Raw genomic sequence first — 22412 nt, 5'->3', positions numbered from 1 at the left:
GGACAGGACAGGTGCTCATGCTGATTCAATGCCTTTGGTCTAGTCCTCTAATCTCCATTCACATCTGTCTCCATGAAGACTTTTCTACCCACACCCCCATCTTCCACCAACAAACAGTAAAATAAGTTGTAGCAAGATGTCATTCTTTGAATTCTTCAGGCTTTACCTTTATTTTTCCAGACAATAGTTTTCTGACTTGTATTGCAGTAATCCGTGTATTTGTCATTACACTCATAATAAGGGGTATTTTTTGGAAAAAGAACATGATTATCAATTTATTTTTATAGAAAAGATTATTTTTTACAGTAAAATTTACACTACAATCTTACTGTATCTGACATTTGGCTTCCTCAACTGTAAAAGAGGGGTAATAATTTGTTATTATATGGCTATTTTTAGTTAGATAACACTATGTGAAATTGCTTTAGCACAAGTGTGTTTATTTTACCTCTCATTCTGAGGGGTCAGAGATATAAATGTACAGAATGAAAAATTTCAAAGAATTGTCTGACCTTGTATATTCCAGCCATTGCAACCTGTCCTGCTGTCATGCCAACCAGCTACACCTCAAAGAGATGCTCGTTGGCAGGACAAACTTGTAATTGAACACACCTGAATCTTATGCACTAAAGTCAATCCAGTTTAATTGCTTGGTTAACATTTTTTATCCTTGTGCTAAAATGGGACTTCTAAAGTAAGTTTCTCTGTGTTTTAAAGTTAAGGAGCCCATTTTTGTTAAGGAAGAAAGATTCATAACACAAACATAGTACATTTATTCAACATAAATTTTGTATAAGGCATATGTACATTCATTTTGCAGAAGAAAGTCATATTTTTTGGGCTATTCTTGAAAAAATTATATTAACTATATATTATACCTTTTGGGACTAAAATTCTATTAGAATTTTTTTTTGTTTCTAAAATATATACAATTTGTGATATGGTCAGAAATAGGTGAAAAGATAGTTTTACCATAAAATCCATAAAGCCTTTTGGGCTTTGAGAAGCCCAACATTCTTGGGTTCTCTAGTTTTGAAAAGCTGTTATAATTTAGTATTACATATTAATGGCCCTTGTCATGTTTTCCTTGTTTACTATGATTAGTACCAAATATTTAGTACCATAGTATGTACCATTTTTGTATATACTATAAAAATCTTTTTAAAAAATTAGAGATGGGATCTCGCTGTGTTGCCCATGCTGGTCTTGTACTCTTGGCCTCAAGCAAGCTTCCCGCCTTGGCCCTGCAAAGTGTTGGGATTACAAGCATAAGCCACCATGCCCAGCCTTGCAAAATATTTTTAAGTGTGCAGCTTGGATGCTATATGTGCTCATAAATGTGAAGGTATGATAGTTTTTGTGTTTTTAAGTTTTCAATATTATGTAATTATACTAATATTTAATGAGTATATATTTGTTCTCAGCTGCTCAACACACTAATCATATTCCCTTTTGTAGGATTTTATAACTTTTTATTGGTGTTTATTTTGAAATATTTTAAACACTCAATAAAAATAGGCTAATGGCATGCTCAGGCATCTCACAAAAGAAAGAAATATATATAGTCAATAAAAATAAGAAGAGAAGTCATTAGTGACCAGATGAATGCAGATCAAGACCACAATTTGATGCTATTTTCATCCATTCAATGAGGAAATGTTACAATACCTGAAAATACCAAGTGTTGGAAAACTTTAGAGGTTTTTATATATATTATCAGTAGAAATGTAAATTGGTACCATTACTTTGAAACAATTTGTTACATTTTGAAACTGTAATTCAGATATCTCAAAGCCTAGCAATTCCATCCTAAGACACATACCCATGAGTATTTCTTACACATGTACACTGTAAAACACATACAAGAATCCTGGTATCTGTACTGTCAACAGTAATATAAAGCTGTAACATGGGAAGGGAAGAACAAGTGTCCACTCATAAGAGAGTAGATGAAAATAACTGTGGTATATTTAATGAATGAAATATTTTACAAGAGTCCAAATACAACAATACTCAAAAGCATGGCTGCGTCTTAACAATATAATTTTCAGAGAAAAAATATGTTTCAAGGGACTACATAGAACATGGTTACATTTTATAAAGTTAAAAGAAAAAATAACCATTAAAATGTATGGATACACGTAGATAAAATAAAACTATATGAAAAAGTAAGTAACAGTATTTTAGGAGAGGAAAAAGAATGCTTCCCTTTTACCCTTCTAGGTTCTTTGGCTGAGCTATAAATTAAGTTGACATAAGACAGGCTAATGGGGGAAAACAATTTTCACTATGTACGTATGCACAGGAGTACCATAAGAATATGGCACTCAAAGAAGGGCCAGATGATCAAAACTCATATAGTATGCCTCACTACAGAAAGAACTAGTTGCTTGGGGCTGCTGGGGGAGTGTGAGGGAGACAAATTATAGGAAGATGAGGGAAAGTAAGGAATTGTGAATAAATGTTGCCTTTTTAGGCAGGTAAGTCTCAGATGGTAAAAGCTGGCTCAGAGCAACACTCTTCCTGATATAGATACCTTTACTAATAGAAATTTCCCTTATAAATGTAAATTTCTTTTATAAAAGGTAGCTTTTCAGAGCTACTTCTATGTCTGCAGTTTCTCAAAATAATCAGCTAGAGATATTCAATATGCCAAAGAGGTTAATGTTGGGGTGCTGTATTCTGGTATCCTGCAGTCAGGTTTTAGGGTAGTGTGTCCTGAGCCACAACAGAATAATCAACTCAGAATTTAGGTTGCTTATCTTAAATTGGAGTTTTGCTTATCTTAAATTGGAGTGTGGGAGGGATACAGTTAAATCACACACACACACACACACACACACACACACACACACACAGAGACGATTAGAAGATGGGCCTTAAATGTGCACCAGAAATAGGTATCCCAACAATGAATGATAAAATTACATTTGCCCATTCTGCCACAGGCAGAGCTGTGTGCACAACCTCAAACCTCCCCAGGGAGGGTTGGTTATCCACTAAATATAGAGCATGAAGAAGTAAGCATAGCATAAAGTGTGTTTTCCAGGGGCAGCTGGCTTAAGAAAAGAGGACAGAATGGGAGGGATCAAACTTTTCATGACCACATCCCCTTCCAAACTCTACACTCAGATAATTCTTAGCTCAGGTAAGAGCTTAGGTAATTCTCTGGGCCACAGTTTCCAGTTAAAAACTGAATAAGGTAAAGTAGAAAATATAGTTGGCATAGTGCCTGTCACAAATAATAATTCAATACAAACCACTCAGTTTTTTTGTAGGAAGTACTAAGAAATGAGACAAGAAGCTGAAAATATTTATGAAAAATTGCATATTATAGAAACTAGAGAACACTTTATCTCTTTATGCTAAATATGTTGTCTGAATTTTTCATGTTTAAAGTTAAATAGATAGTTGCATTAAAGAAACAGAGATTTATTAGAAAAATATAGAACATTTATTGAAAATGTATTTGGTGCAAGAAATAAAGTAGGTCAGTTGTTAAAAAGCATTATGGTTTTGAACTATGCCTAAATTGTTTATAATAATTACTATAATCTACATATGCCTTGCACAAAACATATGTTTGATAAATTACTTAATGATTCTCAAAGTTATTTACTAATCATTATTTCATTTGATTCTCACAATAGTGTTAAGTTATAGACATATAAACATTATTATTCAAATCTGCCACTGAGAAAAATAAATTGCTACATTTTTAAGAGGTAGAGCCAGGGTCATGCAGTTTGTATTTAGGAAGGCAAGGATTCAGAAAGTCACTTCATTGGTATCCAAATCACATTTTTATCTTGTTTCAAGCAAGCTTCCTGGCCCATATTGGTGCCATCCAAAGCAACGTATATCTACAGTCTCATTTTCCTCCTCTCCATGCCGATACAGATGAATTGCTTGAAGTTTTCTCATATTCCTAGATTGACAGAAAAATTACACTAAGAGACATTCCTTTTTTTTAATGCAAAGCATAAATACACATATCCTTTGGTTATAGAGATCTGTATCAATCTCCAGGAGTCTCCAGAGAAAAGCTGTAACTTGACACGTCTATAGTCAATTTGAAAAAGGGGTTTTCAAAATGTAGAGTAATTTTGTTTCAGTCTAATGGAGATCATTTTCATGTAATTTCAAATTTTCTAAGTTCAGTAAACCAAAATTTTTGAGGAACTAGAATTACCACTAGAAAAATTATTGAGGATAGTGGAGTAGAGAAATGTCAGTACTCTATGATTTCCACAAATCTTGATTATCTACATAGAAAACTAGGGTGAAAATTCCAATGAGATTTACTAATCTTTCATTGTCCTACTTGAAACAGACAACTGTGCCTAAAACCAAAAGAGGCCGAGCAATTCATTCCATGAAGGCACAGTAGGGAAAGGTAGATAGAAAAATGATAGAGTGAATTATTAGAAAAGGAGGGAAAACACATTTTATATTGCAAACCATTGTAATATAAAATGTAATGTAATATAAGACGTAATATTGCATATGAAGGTAACAACCTGACTTATGATTTCTTTTCCTGTTTTGCAAATGCTCTATGAAGATATGTTGTAATAACTATGTTTACTATGTAACAGTATGAGAAAATGATATTGAAGTAAATGAGTCATAATGCTCCTCAAATTAGGGTATCAAATAAGGTTAAGTAAAGCCTCAGGTTTCGTGTTAATAACAAGAGTGATATATTGAAGGCCATACAGGGAAAGCTGTGAGATTACAAGCACCATCTCTGTTCTTCAAGTTTGTTTTCCAAACATTTTAACACAGAATCTGTGGTCAGTTTTTCTATGGGTAGTCAAACACTTGGCTCAGGCCATTTAAGGAATAAACCAGAAAAACAATTCCATCATTTAAATTAAGAAACTCAGTTTCCATAATAGATCTTTACTAGATTCCTTTTACCTCAGCAATTGTGCAATTCTGATGATTGAACATTCCTGTTGAAAGGATAAGGATGATTTTAGACAAACTTGAACAGGATCTCTTGAGACTGAGCCTTGGGCCTTGGACACTTATATTTGATTCAGAATAAACCTCTAAGTATTTTACAGAGATGACGCTTTCATCAACAATTCCTTAAAACTTTGATAAAACTGTTGAATTTTTGAGCCTTAATTTTTTCATAAATATTTCTTCTTTTTTAATTATCTACAGAATCTGTAGCAATGTCACTTATTTGTTATTGGAACATTTCTTTGTTTTTTTCTTGATCAACATGGGTAGAGGTTTTTTTACTTTCACGCATCTAAACAAATAGGTGAATTCATCTATTCATCAAAGAACCAAATATTGGTTATGCCAATTTTTTTCTGTTGTTTTTCTGCTTTCTGTTTATTTATGATCTATATCATTTCCTTTTTTTCTGGTTATTACCAGTGATTTTGCTATTTTTTTCTAAACTATTGAGGAAGAAACTATGCCCTTGTTTTTAGACCTTTTAAAATTACTAACAGGAATATTTTCTGGTATAAATGTTTCTAAAAGTACTGCTTTTGTGGCATTCCACAAATTTTGATATGTTGTAATTTTATTTTCATTAAATTCAGAGTAACTTCTAATTATCTATTTTGTATATTTCTTTGGCCCATGGGTTATATTGAAGTGTAGTACTTCGTTTACAAATATTTGAAAATTTTCAGAAGTCCTTCTGTCGCTGATTTTTATTTAATCCCATTGTGATCAGATAATATACTTTGTGTGAGTTACTTTTTTAATTTAGGAATTGTTTTATGCCTCAGAGTAGGGTCTATCTTTGTACACTTCCCAGGTGCACTTGAAAATAATATACATTCTGCTATTTTTGGGCCAAGTATTTCTTAACGTTAGTTGCATCAAGTTAGTTGATTATGTTGCTAAAGTCTTCCATACCTATTTATTTTCTGTTTATTTGCAGGTCTATTAGTTTTTACTTCATGTATATTGAAACTATGTTAGTTGGTGCATACATGTTTAGGATTGTCAGGTTCTCTTAATAAACATCATTATGAAATGGTCTCTCATATTCCTGGAAATATTTCTTGTTCTAAAATCTACTTTATGTATTATTAGCATGCCCACTCTGGCTTTCTTTTGAATGGTGCTAGTGTAATGTATCTTTTCTATCTTTTTGTTTTTAGCTATCTGAGTCTTTATATTTAATGTACGTTTTCTATAGACAGCATATTAGTTAGGTATTGCTTTTTATTCATTATGGATGTCTCTGCCTTTTTATAGGGTTGTTGAGACCATTTACATAAATGTTATTCTTTATAACATTAGATATAAATCTATCATCTTGCTGTTTGTTATCTATTTGCCCCATTTGTTCATTTTTTTGCTTTTTCAGACTTGTTTTGGATTATTTTATAATATGTTTTTATATTTATTGTTGGACTATTACCCATATATTTCATTTTTTTTAAATTTTTATTGGTTGCTTTAGGGTTTATAGTAAATGTCTGTAACTTACTACATTCTATCTACCAGTAATACTATATCCATTCATATATAATACAGATATTTCACAATAGTATACTTTTATATCATAAATACTGTAAGTTCTAATTTTATAACCAGGAGCTCCTAAAAGTAAAATTGTATTTTATTTTGAATTTTGGGGTAGTGAATCCACTGGTAATTACAGTATGCCTTTTACATATTTTTCCTACAAGTATATAAACCATGAAACTTCCCTTCAAGTATATATTATGAAAACAATACTTTTTCATAATTTGGCCAGTTTATTCATAAGAATCCTAAAGAGTAAAAGCAATCAATGTGGGAAAACACCTCCACAGCAGCAGATAATATTTTTACCTTAAAATTATAACACAAGAAAAACAAGTACAAGAAAAATGAATGACTCTGAAATTTTTTCCTGTATTTTGCTATTTTTCCTCTTTTTTGACATTTTTACTTCTTTAAGCTATTTTTACTCTCATATAATGTACTTTGGAATTTTTACTAATTGGTAATTATGACCAATCTGTTTGACAAAAAAGTAAACTTATTTTGGATGTCTACAGAAAAATTTTGTTTCTCGGGGCTTAACATACTGATTTTCATTTTCTTTCATTACAGTTTTGATGCTCTTTATTATTCAAAAGTTAAACATGAGATATAGATTACACAAATTCATTTGAATAACACCCTAATAATAGTGATTAATAAGGTACTAAGATAATCAGAAATTTGAGAAAACTTTTTTTTATATGCTGTTTAATCATCACCTCAAATTGCTCTCTATAAACACAGAAAACGCTTACTGGTTCTCTGAAAAAATTACTGACTCACAACATGTTTTTGAACAGCAATGACGACAACAACAACAACAAAATATTACACTGCAGGGTGATTGTGAATAAGAACTCAGCTGACAAAATGACTCATTCGTCAGGATGTAATTTAGAACAAGGTGTTAGGAAACAGTTGTATAAGTGCCTTCAAATTGATCCAGTTTTCATTAGAATATGAAGGCCAATGAATTGGAAATGGGACTGGAATGAAAAGAAAATTAGAATTAAAGCTTCTATACGAAGCATTTAAGTTTCACACAGACTAAAGCATAAGTCAAATGGTATTATTTCTTGCCCGTTTTTGCCTTCCTTACAAGCATTCTTATTCTCCACCTAGATCCAAATCTATATTATGCTGCATCAAAAAAACAAAATAATTTTTGAAATCCAAAACATGTAATGAACAGTCTTTTTACAGAATATATAAAACATTGTTAAGGAATTATACATCAAATTGAAGAACTAAGTATTTATAAAACAATACACATAGACCTCTCTCGTTCCCAAAGATGTTGATACACAGCTCTAGAAATAAATATTACCTGACAGCATACTAAATGCGCCTATACGTTGAGCCTTGTAGTCTTCTATCAGTCATTTTCATTCATAATTTTTAACTTGTGAGTTTTCCAGTTTTAATTTATTTAGATATATACACTTTAAGGCCAGGCATGGTGACTCATGCCTGTAATTCCAGCACTTTGGGAGGCTGAGGTGGGTGGATCACTTGAGGTCAGGAGTTCAAGACCAGCCGTGTCTCTACTAAAAATACAAAACTTGGCAGTGTATGGTGGAAGCCACCTGTAATCCCAGCTACTCGGGAGACTGAGGCAGGAGAATCACTTGAACCTGGGAGGCGGACGGAGATTGCAGTGAGCAGAGATCACACCATTGCACCCTGGGCAACAGAGCAAGACTCCGTCACACACACACACACACACACACACACACACACATATATTTTAAAGTGACCTCACCTTTCTTAGAAGTTTATTAAGTAAAAATTATCCTTTGGGATTCTTACTTGTTTACATTAAGTAAACACATGTTCAGAACACATACACAGTTCAGAAAACTAATCTTTCATGGTTTTTAAATTGAACTTCATTTGATCCTAGAATCATGATTCTTCATTAATACAATATATTTAAGAAAAAACAATAATATTTAAGCAGTGTTTTTAATGATTGACAGTGATATTTTGATTTTACATGGAATCTTATACAGTATAGATTGCTCAAAGTAAATTTTTAATGATTCAACATTAAAATACAGGACAACCTGAAGAAAAAAAAACATTGGGCCCAAATACAAGCAAAATCCATTATCTTAGAGTAGTTAACCCATCATATGCTACTTGAATAAATTGATATGCCTTTTTAATATAAATATTCTAGTATTATATTTCAATACAAATAAATACATTGATAGACAATTCTGAAATTAAATTACATAATATAAACCATGCAATTTTTATAATTCTATTACAATAATTTTACTTGTGATATGTGTGCACATATAAGTTCTTTTAAAATGATCTACATATATGAAGTTTGCATGTAGACGGACAAGTAAAAAATGTACACATATTACTCAAAAGCAAAGCGTGATTATATTAATTTAACAAAAATAATTCTCTGGCCTTCCCTCAGTCTTCCAGTGATGTTATGGTGATGGGCTTAAGATGAAAGAGTGGAGGGAAAAAGTGAGAACTAAGAAGGAAATAAATTTCCTTTTTCTTTGTCTATGATAACATCAATGTCAGTCGTTTCTGCATGAAGATAGGAATTACTGATGAGAACATTGCAAACTCTAAATAACCATCACATATAAAGATTGCTTTTTGATTTGTGTGTGCTGCAGTTGTACACAGGGTTTGCCACAGCTTGTTTCTTTCACCTGAATCCAGTCCACATCCCCCATTCACAAAGAACTGTGGTGCAAGCATCATAGAAGTCTACAACTGAAAAACTACAGCTAAATTAATAGAGTATTGCATCTTGCAAACTTCGGTCTAATTCTGTGGCTCTTTTTTTCAAATAGCAATGCTTTATTTATTCTGGTATATCATGTTAAGGAAATTATTCTATTAAATTCAACTATGTAACTATAATTATTTTCGTTTAAGAAGCCCTGTTGATGCCTTCTTCTTTTACTTTTTCCTAATGATAACCAATTATGTCATTGTGGTTGAACTCTTGTCTACCCATCAGTTATCTGTGGGAGTTAAGGCCAGGGTTTCTTAGTTTGAAAGACTAAAATATCTGCCACTTATGGAAGTTACTACAATCTATTCTGAACCATAGGGAATGAACTCTCCTTTTAGAGCACTGTGGTGTAATCCACGCACAGTTCTGACCCATATAAATGATTATGATGTATTTATTCAAGCCAGGCATTAGGCATGATAAAATAAAAACTTAAGCTGAGTTAAACTTAAAGGAGTTTTATTGAGCAATGAATGATTCGTGAATTGGGCAACCCCCAGAATGACAGCAGATTCACAGAGACTCCAGGGGTACCTCATGGTCAGAACAAATTTATAGACAAAAAAAAAAAAGGTAAAGTGATGCACAGGAATTGGAAGTGAAGTACAGAAACAGTGAGATTGGTTACAGCTCGGTGTTTGCCTTACTTGAACGCAGTTTGAACATTCAGCAGTCTATGAGTGGTTGAAGTATGGTCACTGGGATTGGTCAATACTCAGCCATTGTTACAAGTGCATATACTACTAAGTTAGGTTTTCCACTTTGTCTGACTGTTAAGCTAGGTTACAGTTCATCCACAAGGACTCAAATATGGAAGTACGGAGTACTACTCAGGTCATACTTAGTTTGTTTAAACAGGCATAAAGCCGTGAACTCGCAATACAGATTCTGCCCTTGTGGAGCTTAGAAACAAATTGTGGAGACAGGCAGTAATAAGAATAAAGAAGAAATATATAACTTCAAATAGTGATACATATGATGCAGATAGAGAAATCTGATCCCAATTTTCTATTCTACATATAACGACTTCAGATAACTAAGAACAGGCGGTTTAGAGTTAGAATTTCTGAATGTGAAAGTTGATACTACAACTCCGCAAGTTTCTGCAAGTTAAATAACATTACTGAGACTGAAAGTTGTTACCTAAATCATAGGTTAATAAAACCAATCCCGTAGGGCTCTCACTGTTACCAAATAGGATAATGCATGTAAAATCCATAGCCAAATGTATGGCACATTGTATACATTTTAAATGGATAGGGCAGTATTTGTTATTACATGAATCTGACAAATCAAGGTAGATAATAAAACTGGAAAATTATATTGAGAACCATAACGATGATCATGCATACTTATATTTTATTTTTTATTGCTTGAGAAAAACAAATTTACATGACCTGAATGGAAATTCTTCTGCCTTTCCAAATTATGCGCCACGCAGTTTTATGAAGTAGCTTATATACAGTTAGATCAATAGGTTATTTAATCTTTGGTACATTTATGATATATGTCAAACAATTGTTAAAAAATCTTAGATTTACTTTTAGAAGAATAAATATTATCCCCATTTTACGGGGACTGTTAAAGTTCAGAAAGGTTAAGGAACTTGCTGATAGCTCACTATTATTAATCAATGAAACACTGCAATTCAAACTTATGTGTCTTTGGATGCAAAGATGTCATTGCTTCTATTATTATATTATTAGTTAATTAATGTGCATTTCTCAATGACTTGTTTAGTAGCCAGTTCATGAAACAGCCATGTGTGAAATCAGGTCTCCTATGCCTATGTAAAGAGATTTTGTTTCCACGCACCATCTTATTTCACTTTAGTTTCAACTTATCATTTATACTGTTGTCTGTATTTCTTTTGAATTTTAATTTTGTCACCCAACATGATGGCATAATTGAGTTAAATTTTTTCTTCCAGCAATGGAAGAAATATGCCTTTAAAAAAATTAAAACTTTCTAAAAATAGCCCTTAATTGTTCTTTGCAAAGATCTAGATCGAGTTTTTGGACCCAAAATATTAATTGGAAAACAAACAAAAAATCTGAATCTCAGAAGAATACTACAGGCTTTCAAATTAGAAAATGGTTACAACTGAAAAGTATAGATCCCTGATGTTAAGCTGTATCTTGCATTATACTTAAAAAATATTCCAAATGAGACTGATTGAGTGTGCTAACACCTCAAAGCATAACATGCATAAGATATTTAAGAGAAACCTGGTATCATTTTTGACCCAAAGAAATGCCTATTAATTTTAATTTTGCGAAATATATTTCATTTTGTTTGTTTTGTTTTTTGAGACAGAGTCTCGCTCTGTTGCCAAGCTGGAGTGCAGTGGTGCGATCTCAGCTCACTGGAACCTCTGCCCCCTGGATTCCAACGATCCTCCTGCCTCAGCCTCCTGAGTAGCTGGGACTACAGGCACTCGCCACCATGCCCAGCTAATTTTTTTTTTTGTATTTTTAGTAGAGACAGGGTTTCACCATGTTGGCCAGGATGGTCTTGATCTCTTGACCTAGTGATCCGCTTGCCTCAGCTTTCCAAAGTGCTGAGATTACAGGCATGAGCCATGGTGCCCGGCTGCAAAATATATTTTATAATTAATATTGAAAAGGGTTGTTCTGTAACTAACTTTGTGACTAGTAGAACTATTTAATGATAATTTAACATGTATTTTTGTTTCCTTTAGTTTGAGCTAAGTATTCTTATTGTTTTGTGATTTCTCTGTTAAGGTCTATTTTGTAATAAAAAAATGCACTTCCACTTGAACAACTATTATGTAATAATTATACACAAATTTTCCTATGCATTATTGCACTAGAATTAATAGTAACTGTTCACCTAGGTAGAGCTTATTTTCTTCAATTTATTTGCACATTGTATCACTTTATTTCTATTTTTATAAGTTACACCTAGTACATTTCAGTAAAGATAGGGAAACACAGAGACCCTTGCGTTAAACTCAGTACCAACTTGAAATTTACTTTGCTTACCTTAAGTGCTCAATTTTTTAAAGACTGAATAAGGCCAGGAATGGAAACTCAGGCCTGTAATCCCAGCATTTTAAGAGGCTGAGGTGGGAGGATCATTTGAGCCCGGGAATTCAAGACCTGCCTAGGCCAAACAGTGGGATCTCGTCACTACAAAAATTAAAAAATAGTCAGGCATGGTGCATGCCTGTAGTCCCAGCTACTCAGGAGGCTGAGGAGAAAGGAATGCTTGAGCCCCGGGTGTCGAGGCTGCAGTGAATCGTGATGCGCCACTGCACTTTAGCCTGGGAGAGATTGAGACCCCGTCTCCAAAAAATATTAATAATTAATTTAAAAATGAATGAATTAGTGAAGTATAAAAATGCAAACACGGCCGGGCGCGGTGGCTCACGCCTGTAATCCCAGCACTTTGGGAGGCCGAGGCGGGCGGATCACGAGGTCAGGAGATCGAGACCATCCTGGCTAACACGGTGAAACCCCGTCTCTACTAAAAATACAAAAAATTAGCCGGGCGTGGTAGCGGGCGCCTGTAGTCCCAGCTACTCGGGAGGCTGAGGCAGGAGAATGGCGTGAACCCGGGAGGCGGAGCTTGCAGTGAGCCGAGATCGCGCCACTGCACTCCAGCCTGGGCGACAGAGCGAGACTCCGTCTCAAAAAAAAAAAAAAAAAAAAAAAAAAAAAAGCAAACACATGGAAATTGAATACAATATCAAAAGGAAATGTTATCTTCATAAAATATTCACTAAAATTTCCTCAGCATACAACTATTCTGCTTTTTGCTTTATCTGCTTTTTGTTCCTATGCTTCAAGGAGTTTTTGTATTTTTCTTTTTCTTTTTTTTTTTTTTTTGGGACTGAGTTTCACTATTGTCACCCAGGGTGGAGTGCAATGGTGTGATCTTGGCTCACTGCAACCTCCGGCTCCCGGGTTCAAGTGATTCTCCTCTCTCAGCCTCCTAAGTAGCTGGGATTGCAGGCACTCGCCACCACACCCAGCTAATTTTTTGTGTTTTTACTAGAGACGGGGTTTCGGGGTTTCACCAAGGTGGCCAGACTGGTCGTGAACTCCTGACCTCAGGTGATCCGCCCACTTCAGCCTCCCAAAGTGCTGGGATTACAGATGGGAGTCACCGCACCCGGGCAAGTTTTTGCATTTTTCTTAGGTGGTAGAGACTGGTGAAGATGTTTGAATAATAATCAACTTATTTAGATAACCACAATGCCATATTGTCAAGTCATTCTGCTGAGTCAATGCTGATTCACTGGGCAACATTTAGTGGGGGCCATTTGCTTGTCTAGTAGCAAGGCAGGCAGTAGGCAGGCAGGCTGTAGGTGTGATGAGTGTATTTGTCAGCATGATTTGTATTTATATAAATGCCGACATTGAAAAATTGATTAATTTTGTTCAGCATGATTACACGTTAAGTAGATCTTTGTCTTCTTTTAGTTGGAACTCAATGTTTCTTTTTTGCCCCCCCGCCCCCTTTTTTTTTTTTTTTGCCTAGCTTATGTTTTTATAAAATTTTTGGATTCTAAGTGTTTCATATAAAAACAAATGTCATGTTTTGAACTGTTTAATTAGAGCTGAGGCATATTAATACAAATTTTCTAACTAATATTTACAGAATCCAAGACACTTCACGGGGTTCTAAGATTTGATTGATGACACTTTTCCTTGCCTTGTTTGCCTGACGTTGAAATTGCTGAAGATCTAAACAGGAGAACTGAACATTTTGTCTTGACAGAAAAAGGAACAACTAAAAATATCTCTTACCCTAGGTAGACTAAGGTACTTTTATAAATCTAAGCTATGAACCAACTAGGACATTCTTATTCCTAATTTAGATACTGGGGTCTAATAAATCTGCTTTGCTATTGTAGCAATACAAAGTTTGAAGTTCTTCCCAGTGGGTGCCAAACTTGGCTGTATTTTTTGGATCATGAAAGAATACCAACTACAACATGATAATATATACTGTTGACAAGTCATCTTAATCTTTCCTATTGAGTTTTACAAAACATTTACTTACCTTGTTCAGCTGAGAAATTGAGAAATTTATTTCCTCTAAACTGATTCTTTAATATTGTCTTTGTTGACAATGCTAAAAATATACTGATGTCATAGGTAAAAGGCATTTTAGTTCCTGGATTATTAAGAAGAAAGTTCTTTATTAAAATAAGGCATTTGCTTTCTGACAAAGACTCAAATAACACTAAGAAATCACATGTTCAGGATTTTTGCCTAAAAAGGCAAAAATATTATGTTGGTTTCCTATAACACTGAGTAATATTAATATTATGGTTCTCTGGGTAACAAAATATAACGAGTGTCCAATACTTCTAAAATTTTTACTCTATAACTTAAATATGGACCTTAAACAGCTGAAAGAATAAAATTCTCAGAAACTCAGTAAATTTAATTATCTTAACTATATATTAACATATTGCATAATATATTTATATATTTATGTAAAAATGATGTTAATATTTTCTAAACAACTGGCTACTTTGTACATTTTTGGCACATTGCTGAACATTCTAGAAGTGTTTTAGCGAACATATTTTTACCCTAAATTATTTCACTATGATGATACTGTATTCTGAATTTGTAATGTATAAGTTAAAAGAGCTTTGCAAGTTCATTATATGATATATATACACATATAAATACATATGTATGTATGATATATACATACGTGTGTGTGTGTGTATATATATATATATATATATATGTGAGGATTTACACATTTAAGCCTAGAAAAAAATAAAAAGTTTTTTTTTCCCCCAAACTTTCAAAAGTGAATGATTCGGCTTCTTTTCTCACAAGTGGGAATTAAATAGGATATTTAATTAGAATATGCTACCCTTTAAACAATTTCTCTGGAGAAGTAATGCTTTCAGAATTTATTTCTTCTATTTGGTTTTATTTGATTTTGCTGATATAAATTTTGAATATTCATCTGATTTGATGGTTATAGCAGAATTATTTCAGAAATTGCTTTGGAATTAAAGAATTATGGAGGACTCCACGAGTTCGTTTCTTCAAAGTGATTTATGGCTGAAAGACAACAGAAAGGATGCTCCTGGCTAAGGCTGCTATTTTATGGAGGAAAAAACTGAGACACGGGAAAGCTAAGTGAATATACTTTAATATTAAACACCTAGCAAGTGGCAGAGCCAAGATTTTTACTCAAGGCTTCTGCATCCTATGAATCAAAAGTGCCCTGGTACTCTTTCAAGTAAGCTGGATCATGAATTATTCTGTAAGGTATCCAGAAAGAGACTGCACAATTTCCTTCCTGTTACGATCACAGGTACTAATGTCTGTGTCCATTTGGCTACTGACTTTCCTCTCACTAATCTACCATATACTTCATTCATAATAATATAACTGTTTTATTCAAACACAAGGAAGCAAACACATACACCCACACACATAAACATACATATATGCACTCTAGTACCTTACTCATTTTCAGTCACTGTGAATATAAATTTTCTCAGCCACTCCATAGGACTTTGCAACATAAGTGTTTTGGGTGTCGGGGGGTGCTGATTGGTAACCATATTGTCATTTCTGGAAAATCTTCACAAGCATTGAAATGATTAATAATATTAAACCAGAGTACACTTAGTTTAAGAGAATCGATGGCTGATGATATCAGGTGTTGAGGACTTGACACAGGCAACCTACGGATAAACCTGTGGAACAGAAAAGTCATGTGCTTGCTGCTTCCTACTCTTGAGAACACTAGAACTACAATGCATTAGAAATTCTATGAGTGATAGCATTTGCATCTTTGACTTCCTTCCCCCCCACCACCATTCTCAAATATCATTAACTTCAGAATAAAATTAAACAGGTTACATTTCTTTCCTACATCAATCACATTCACTTACATTTTCCTGAGGATACAGCATAAGCCTTCTGATTGGCCAAGTAATTTATTTTTTTGGAGACTCCTCAACCATATATTTATAAATCACTGAGTAGGGTGAGTTGATTAGGGATGAATTCATTTTATTCTTATTCCTAATATATTGTTTGTAAAGGAGACCCCATGTAGTCTGAGAATACTTTTACATTTTTAATTTTTTACTATCATATGGCTAGCTCATCTTTGAATGTTAAATGAACAAAGCAGAAAAAGGTGACATATATAAATGGAATTGAACTCATAAATAAAAATACATAACATTCTATTCATAAATAATGCAGATTTTACAAAGCTCTAAGCTGATTCCTTTTTTGAAGTAAGTAGGGTGGGGATAGTAGTTCAGTGAGCTGCAGTCAACAAAACAGTTGAAAAACATTAGCTGATGTGGACAGAAAAGATAGGTTTCTCTTTTGAAAATTTTAAAACCCTGAACACATTCAGTGTGTGCTGCCACTTAATGCATTGTTCAAGTATTTCCTGCACATCCAATTTTTATGAGAACCTTAAAAGGCTTCTGGTAGACAGTTTAATCACATTTCCTTTCACCACTTGTATGTGTGCTTCTTATATGGAGGTCATTGTCATAAAAAGGAAATTTGTTTGGTTTCCCAGTGTGCCTTCTCATTTTAATTTTTTTCGGTGGGTCAGAAAATGTGGACACCTACACAAAATTACATTAAAAGAGGTAACATTGATGCCATTATGCTATTGCTTGTTTTTTTTCTAGATGTAAGCTACCATTAATATGTGCAAAATACATTCTTGTATGTCTCTAGACTTGGTTCCACCTTCTTCCCTCCCCTCCAAAGGAATTAATGACCATGATCATTAATAGATGAATGGCAACAGGACAGTTGTTCATAATCCCTACAATATATGTGTAGTCAGATGAAGTAATCTTGTAAAAATGGTTTCATAAAATTTTCATGCTCATACTTCTTCAATGGCTTTTATACCAGATATCCTATATTTATAGATCAAAGGCTATATGGAATGCAAACAAAGCTCTGAAATGGAAAACCAAGCAGCATCCTCTCTAGTTTCATTTTCCACCTGTAAATAATCTTTAGTTGAAGTTTTCACCACTGCTGTCACTGACAGGGCATAGGAAAGTACTAGATCAAAATTGCTCTTTTAGATTATATTTTATAACAGGAATAATAGAGGAAATAAATTTTGGTCATTTTGTAAAAATTACACAAAACGATCTTTGAGGTCACAATTGGTGTTACAGTATTGAATGACTGTCATCTTGGAATGAAAACAGAATGCTAAATAGAATTACCTTAATAAAATAAAGGTGCATAGAACATTGGTTTGAGGTAGTACTCTCAAAGTCTCTGCAGGGCTAGATCCTATCATAGGAATATCTTTCAGACAAAAAGACCACATCTCCATTTTATGAGATGAATACTGGTTTCTTATTAATATAGATAATCAGAAGGCAGAGATAAAATTCTCTGTTTAACCGGATAACTACCAACTGGTAGTATGAGAATATGAGCCTGATTTTGCCACTAGGACTAGATTATACATCACTGGAGAGCTTGGAAGAGCTCAATATCTCTTTCAGTTTTCTATTTATTTTACTGCCAGAAATTACAAAGATCTTTGCATGGTGCACTTTATATGAAAATTCAGTCTCACTGTGTCCCTCAGTATCTACCAACATTTTCCTTATTGTGAAGGCTAGATAAGATTTTTAAAATATGCAATGCAGTAACAGATGCATTCCAAAAAATACACCACTACCTTTTATCATAGGAACGAGTGTTTTTGTGTACAAATTATTATGGTATAGAACACAATATTTAAAAAATTTAATAAGTCAGCTAGGTGTGGTAACTCACACCTGTAATCCCAGCACTTTGGGAGGCGGAGGCAGGTGGATCACCTGAGGTCTGGAGTTCAAGACCACCCTGACCTACATGGTGAAACCCCATCTGTACTAAAAATACAAAAATTAGCTGGGTGTGGTGGCACATGCCTGTAATCACAGTTACAAGGGAGGCTGAGGCAGAAGAATTGCTTGAACCCGGGAGGTGGAGGTTGCAGTCAGCTGAGATCATGCCATTGCACTCAAGCCTGGGCAACAAGAGTGAAACTCCATCTAAAAAATATATAAAAAATTAAAAATTAATAATTAAAAATAAAAAAATAATGTCACAAGTTATAAGGCCGCCAAACATGAAAGAATATCATAATAAAATAAGAAATCTAGTAAATAGGGTTTTATAAGAGCATAAAAATTTATTCTGTGTTAATTGACTAAAATATTTTATAACTATAATTTTGATAGCATAAGTTTCTATGTTTTTGTGTATAATTTTAAAGAGGAAAAATGAAAACATGTTCATATTTTGCTAAAAAGTTATTAACTTAAAGGTAAGTACATTTAAAAGAGCATAATTTTTTTCCTGTAACATATGCATTCTCTATCAAAGTTATTCTCTGTCCAAAAAGCATTTTTCAGCATTGCAGATGGAGTCAAGAGATTTTTTAAATAACTGTACCAGTCATGACTATGAAAGTATAGTCCTACTTCACCCTGATATGGAAAGTTTATTAACTGGAAACACAAAGTCATTTTTTTTTCCCTCGTTATGTCTGTCTTAGTCTGTTCAGACTGCTATAACAAAGTACCTTAGTTTGGGTAACTTATAAAAAATAGAAATGTATTTCTCACAGTTGTGGAGGCTTGGAGGTTCAAATTTAAGGCACCAGAAATATCTGGTTGAGGGCCTGCTTCCTAGATCAGACATGGTGACTTCTTGCTGTGTCCTTACATAGTAGAAGGGGCAAACATGCACCATTCAGGTCTCTATTATAAGGGCACTAATCTCATTCATAGGGGATCTGCCCTTATGACCTAATCACCTCCCAATGGGCCCATCTCTAAACACTGCTGCACTGGGAATTAGTTTTCAACATATGAATTTGGGGGAACACAAACCTTCAGACTATAGCAATGTGTAATATGGTTTTAGATGATTTCCTCAGTATTCTGAGCTTCCATTTTCACAACAGAAAAATGGGAATAATACTATCCACCTTGTGTATTGTTGTGAGACACGAAATTCCATATTAAGAGCCAGACAGAATAGAGTGTCTGAACCTTGTGCTAAATACATGCTAGAAGTTAGTACCATCTTCATCATCATGACCCCACCCTGTTATAAGATAGAAGCCAGTCAAGTCTCCTTTAACTTGGAGAAAAATCAGAATATTTCTCTTTCATATTTTACATTAAAAATAAGAAAATTGAGACCCCAATAGCTGATCTGCCAAGCCAGGCAGCAAGTGTGCAGCAAACTGAGAAGGAACCCATGGCTCGTGACACCCAGTATAGTGTTCTTTCCACCTGATTATCTTCAGAGAGAGGAAATATGTTAAATGTGTCTTTCCTAAAAATTTCCACCCTTACTCTGGTTGTGGCAGGGGTGCAGAGAGAGGGATATGAGTTCAAATAGGACCTCAAATTAATTAGTATTATTTGATCAATGGTGATTACTTTGGCTACTTATTTTCCAGCTAACAAATGTGTATTCAGTAGGTGTTATGGGCAGAATTGTGTTTCCCCAAAATTAATATGTTGAAGTTTTGACCCCAAGTACCTCAGAAGCTGACTGTATTTGGCAGCAGGATCTTTAACAAGGTAATAAAACTATAATGAGGTCACTGGAGTGGGGCCTAATCCAACATGACTGGTGTCCTTATAAGAAGAGATTAGTACACAGACACTCATGGAGGGAAGAACATGTAAAGAAAAAGAAAGAACACAGCCAGATCTATAAGCCAAGGAGAAAGAGGACTCAGAAGAATCTAACCCTGTCTATACCTCATTCTCAGATTTCTAGGCTCCAGTATAGTGAGAAATTAGGGTTTTCTTTGTTTTTGTTTTTAACTTTAATTTTAGGTTCAGAGGTCCACGTGCAGGTTTGTTACATAGGTAAACTTGTGTCATAGGGGTTTGCTGTGCAGATTATTTCATCACCCAGGTATTAAGCCTTGTACCCATTAGATATTTTTCATGAACCTCTCCCTCCTCCTCCTCCTATCCTCCACCCTCGAAGAGGCCCCAGTGTGTGTCGTTCCCTCTATGTGTCATCATTTTAGCTCCCACTTACAAGTGAGAACATGCAGTGTTTAGTTTTCTCTTCCTGCGTTAGTTTGCTAAGGATAAGGGCCTCCAGCTCCACCTATGTCCCTGCAAAGAACATGATCTTATTCATTTTTATTTGTTTTTTAAGCCACCGGTCTATGGGACTTCATTATGGCAGCCCTAGCAAATGAATATACTAGGCACTAGGCACTTGTCTGAAACTGTAAATTGGTCATTCAGAGCTGAAATTAAACCTAGTCATTCTAATTTTAGTGGAAACATAAATATAATTTCCCCAAATGAAGACTTTACTATTTTCCTTGGAATAATGACCATCTGAGAGTCAAAGAAAAACAGTGAGACCGGAAATCTCTCATTAGAAGGCCATACTAATGTTATTCTAAGACTTCCCTAGCCTACTCCTCTAAAATCACCTTGTACTCTTGTATGCAGTTGTCTTTCTGATAAAACTCTTTATGTCATGCTTCACTGATTTTTTTGTGTATCTATCACCCCTAAAAGAATGTAAGCTCATGTAAAATAGGAACTCTACCAGCAAGCACTTAACACAAAAAATTGTAGTGTGTAGCACATGTAAGTACATGAAAAACGCTTGTGGAATTAGACTGAAACCTCTTCAAAATGCTGTTCTGAGTACCTATGCTATGTGAGTGACTGCTTTGGTGGTAAAACAGTTTTACAACATAATCTCTTAAATACTTCAATAATTAAATTTGTTTGGATGGTTTCCAGGAGAGACTGCTCATGCCCATGTTATTATAGTGATATTCTAGAATGGTAATTTTGGTTCTTGGTTGTAGAGATCGTCCTTGGTACGTAAGAGCTAATTAACATAGCAATAGAAACGTTAATCCACAAAGCTTACAAGTGAAAAACCCAATTAGGGTGATGTGATATTAATTAGAAGAAAACAGGAAGTTTGGATTAGGAGCCTAGTGATAAAGCATGAGCATCAATAGGGTGTGTGTGTGAGTGGGTTGGGTAGTGAATAAGGTGCTGTCCACACAGGGCATTGCAGCTTTAAGCAATTACTACAAGATACTGTGAGGTACCTTGCAGGCATTGCAGCTTTAAACAATTACCATAAAGTACTGTTATTTTTACAGTATTTCCAACATCATTTAATGAATCTAAAGAACAAAGGTACAACATAAAAAAGTGATATCTTCATTTTTTTTCCAGGCACTATATAGTAGTTATGAAAGGGAACAGGAGAAGTTGTAATCAGGAGAAATCATTTAAAAAATACATGCCCTCCCATTGCTTAGACAAGGAAGGGGAGTCAAATGCAATGTGAAATACGTGAGGAAACTAGTTTTCTATTTAAACTCATACTTTGGTTATTAAAGATTCTCTGGGAAAATATGCTTTAGGAAACAAAATAATCTGTGGAAATATAACATCGTAATTTGGGTATTACTATTGCCATTGCTGTTTTATTCAGATGATCATGTGTACATAATAAATAAATGAAGCTCGGCAATGAATGATGATTAAATTATATCCAGAGGCAAAAATTCACTTTACAAAGTATCATTGAAAATTCTTAGGAAAGTATTTTATGCTACTATCTACTTATTTTATTACATATTATTATATTATGATATGTTTGTTTGTATAAACGTTTTGATAAAGGGAATATACATTAAAAAGTGGCCAAATATGCTATTTAGAAAGAGGCATTTAATATGCAATATGAATAAAGAAAGAATGTACAAAATCAAGTTAACAAGCTTAAATAGAGGATCAAGAAATAAAAAGTGAAGACTACATATGTCAGCCTTGAACTAAGAAATGAACAGGAAATGCAACTAAGATAATGTGCAGAGAAAAACACACTTTTATATTCTAGTGTCACTTAGTTAAATCAGATCTGTGAATTGTGGCTTCTCCCCATAGAACTACAAAACAGAATACATAGAAAATTCTTAAAATATTAAGTGAATTCATATGAGAAAAAAATATTTTATAAGGTGTATATTATAGATACGGTAAGCCAAAAATGTAAATGAAGGTTTTTAGGATGCTGAACATGGGGAAGTAAGTTATTTTCACTATTGAAAACCA

The 22412-nt window shown here is 33.9% G+C and overlaps 1 protein-coding gene across 6 annotated transcripts in view, besides 1 other annotated feature; it reads left to right on the top strand.

Moving 5' to 3' along the window:
* The window catches only part of PCDH9 (protocadherin 9), a 927503-nt gene that overhangs the window by 282661 nt on the left and 622430 nt on the right, over window positions 1-22412 (top strand). The gene's annotated exons all lie outside the window — the stretch shown is intronic.
* Window positions 13059-14258: an enhancer, noted in NCBI's record as "P300/CBP strongly-dependent group 1 enhancer chr13:67507550-67508749 (GRCh37/hg19 assembly coordinates)". NCBI's record gives its function as "activates an origin of replication core promoter dependent on BRD2, BRD4, P300/CBP, MED14 and CDK7 cofactors, with strong dependence on P300/CBP, by STARR-seq in HCT116 cells {active_cell/tissue: HCT116}" and the evidence as "EXISTENCE:reporter gene assay evidence [ECO:0000049][PMID:35650434]".

The sequence above is a fragment of the Homo sapiens genome, chromosome 13, assembly GCF_000001405.40.
Source record: "Homo sapiens chromosome 13, GRCh38.p14 Primary Assembly".
NCBI classification, from domain to species: Eukaryota; Metazoa; Chordata; class Mammalia; order Primates; family Hominidae; genus Homo; species Homo sapiens.
Note: the sequence above shows the minus strand (reverse complement) of the source record. Positions and strands in the feature narration are given on the sequence as shown.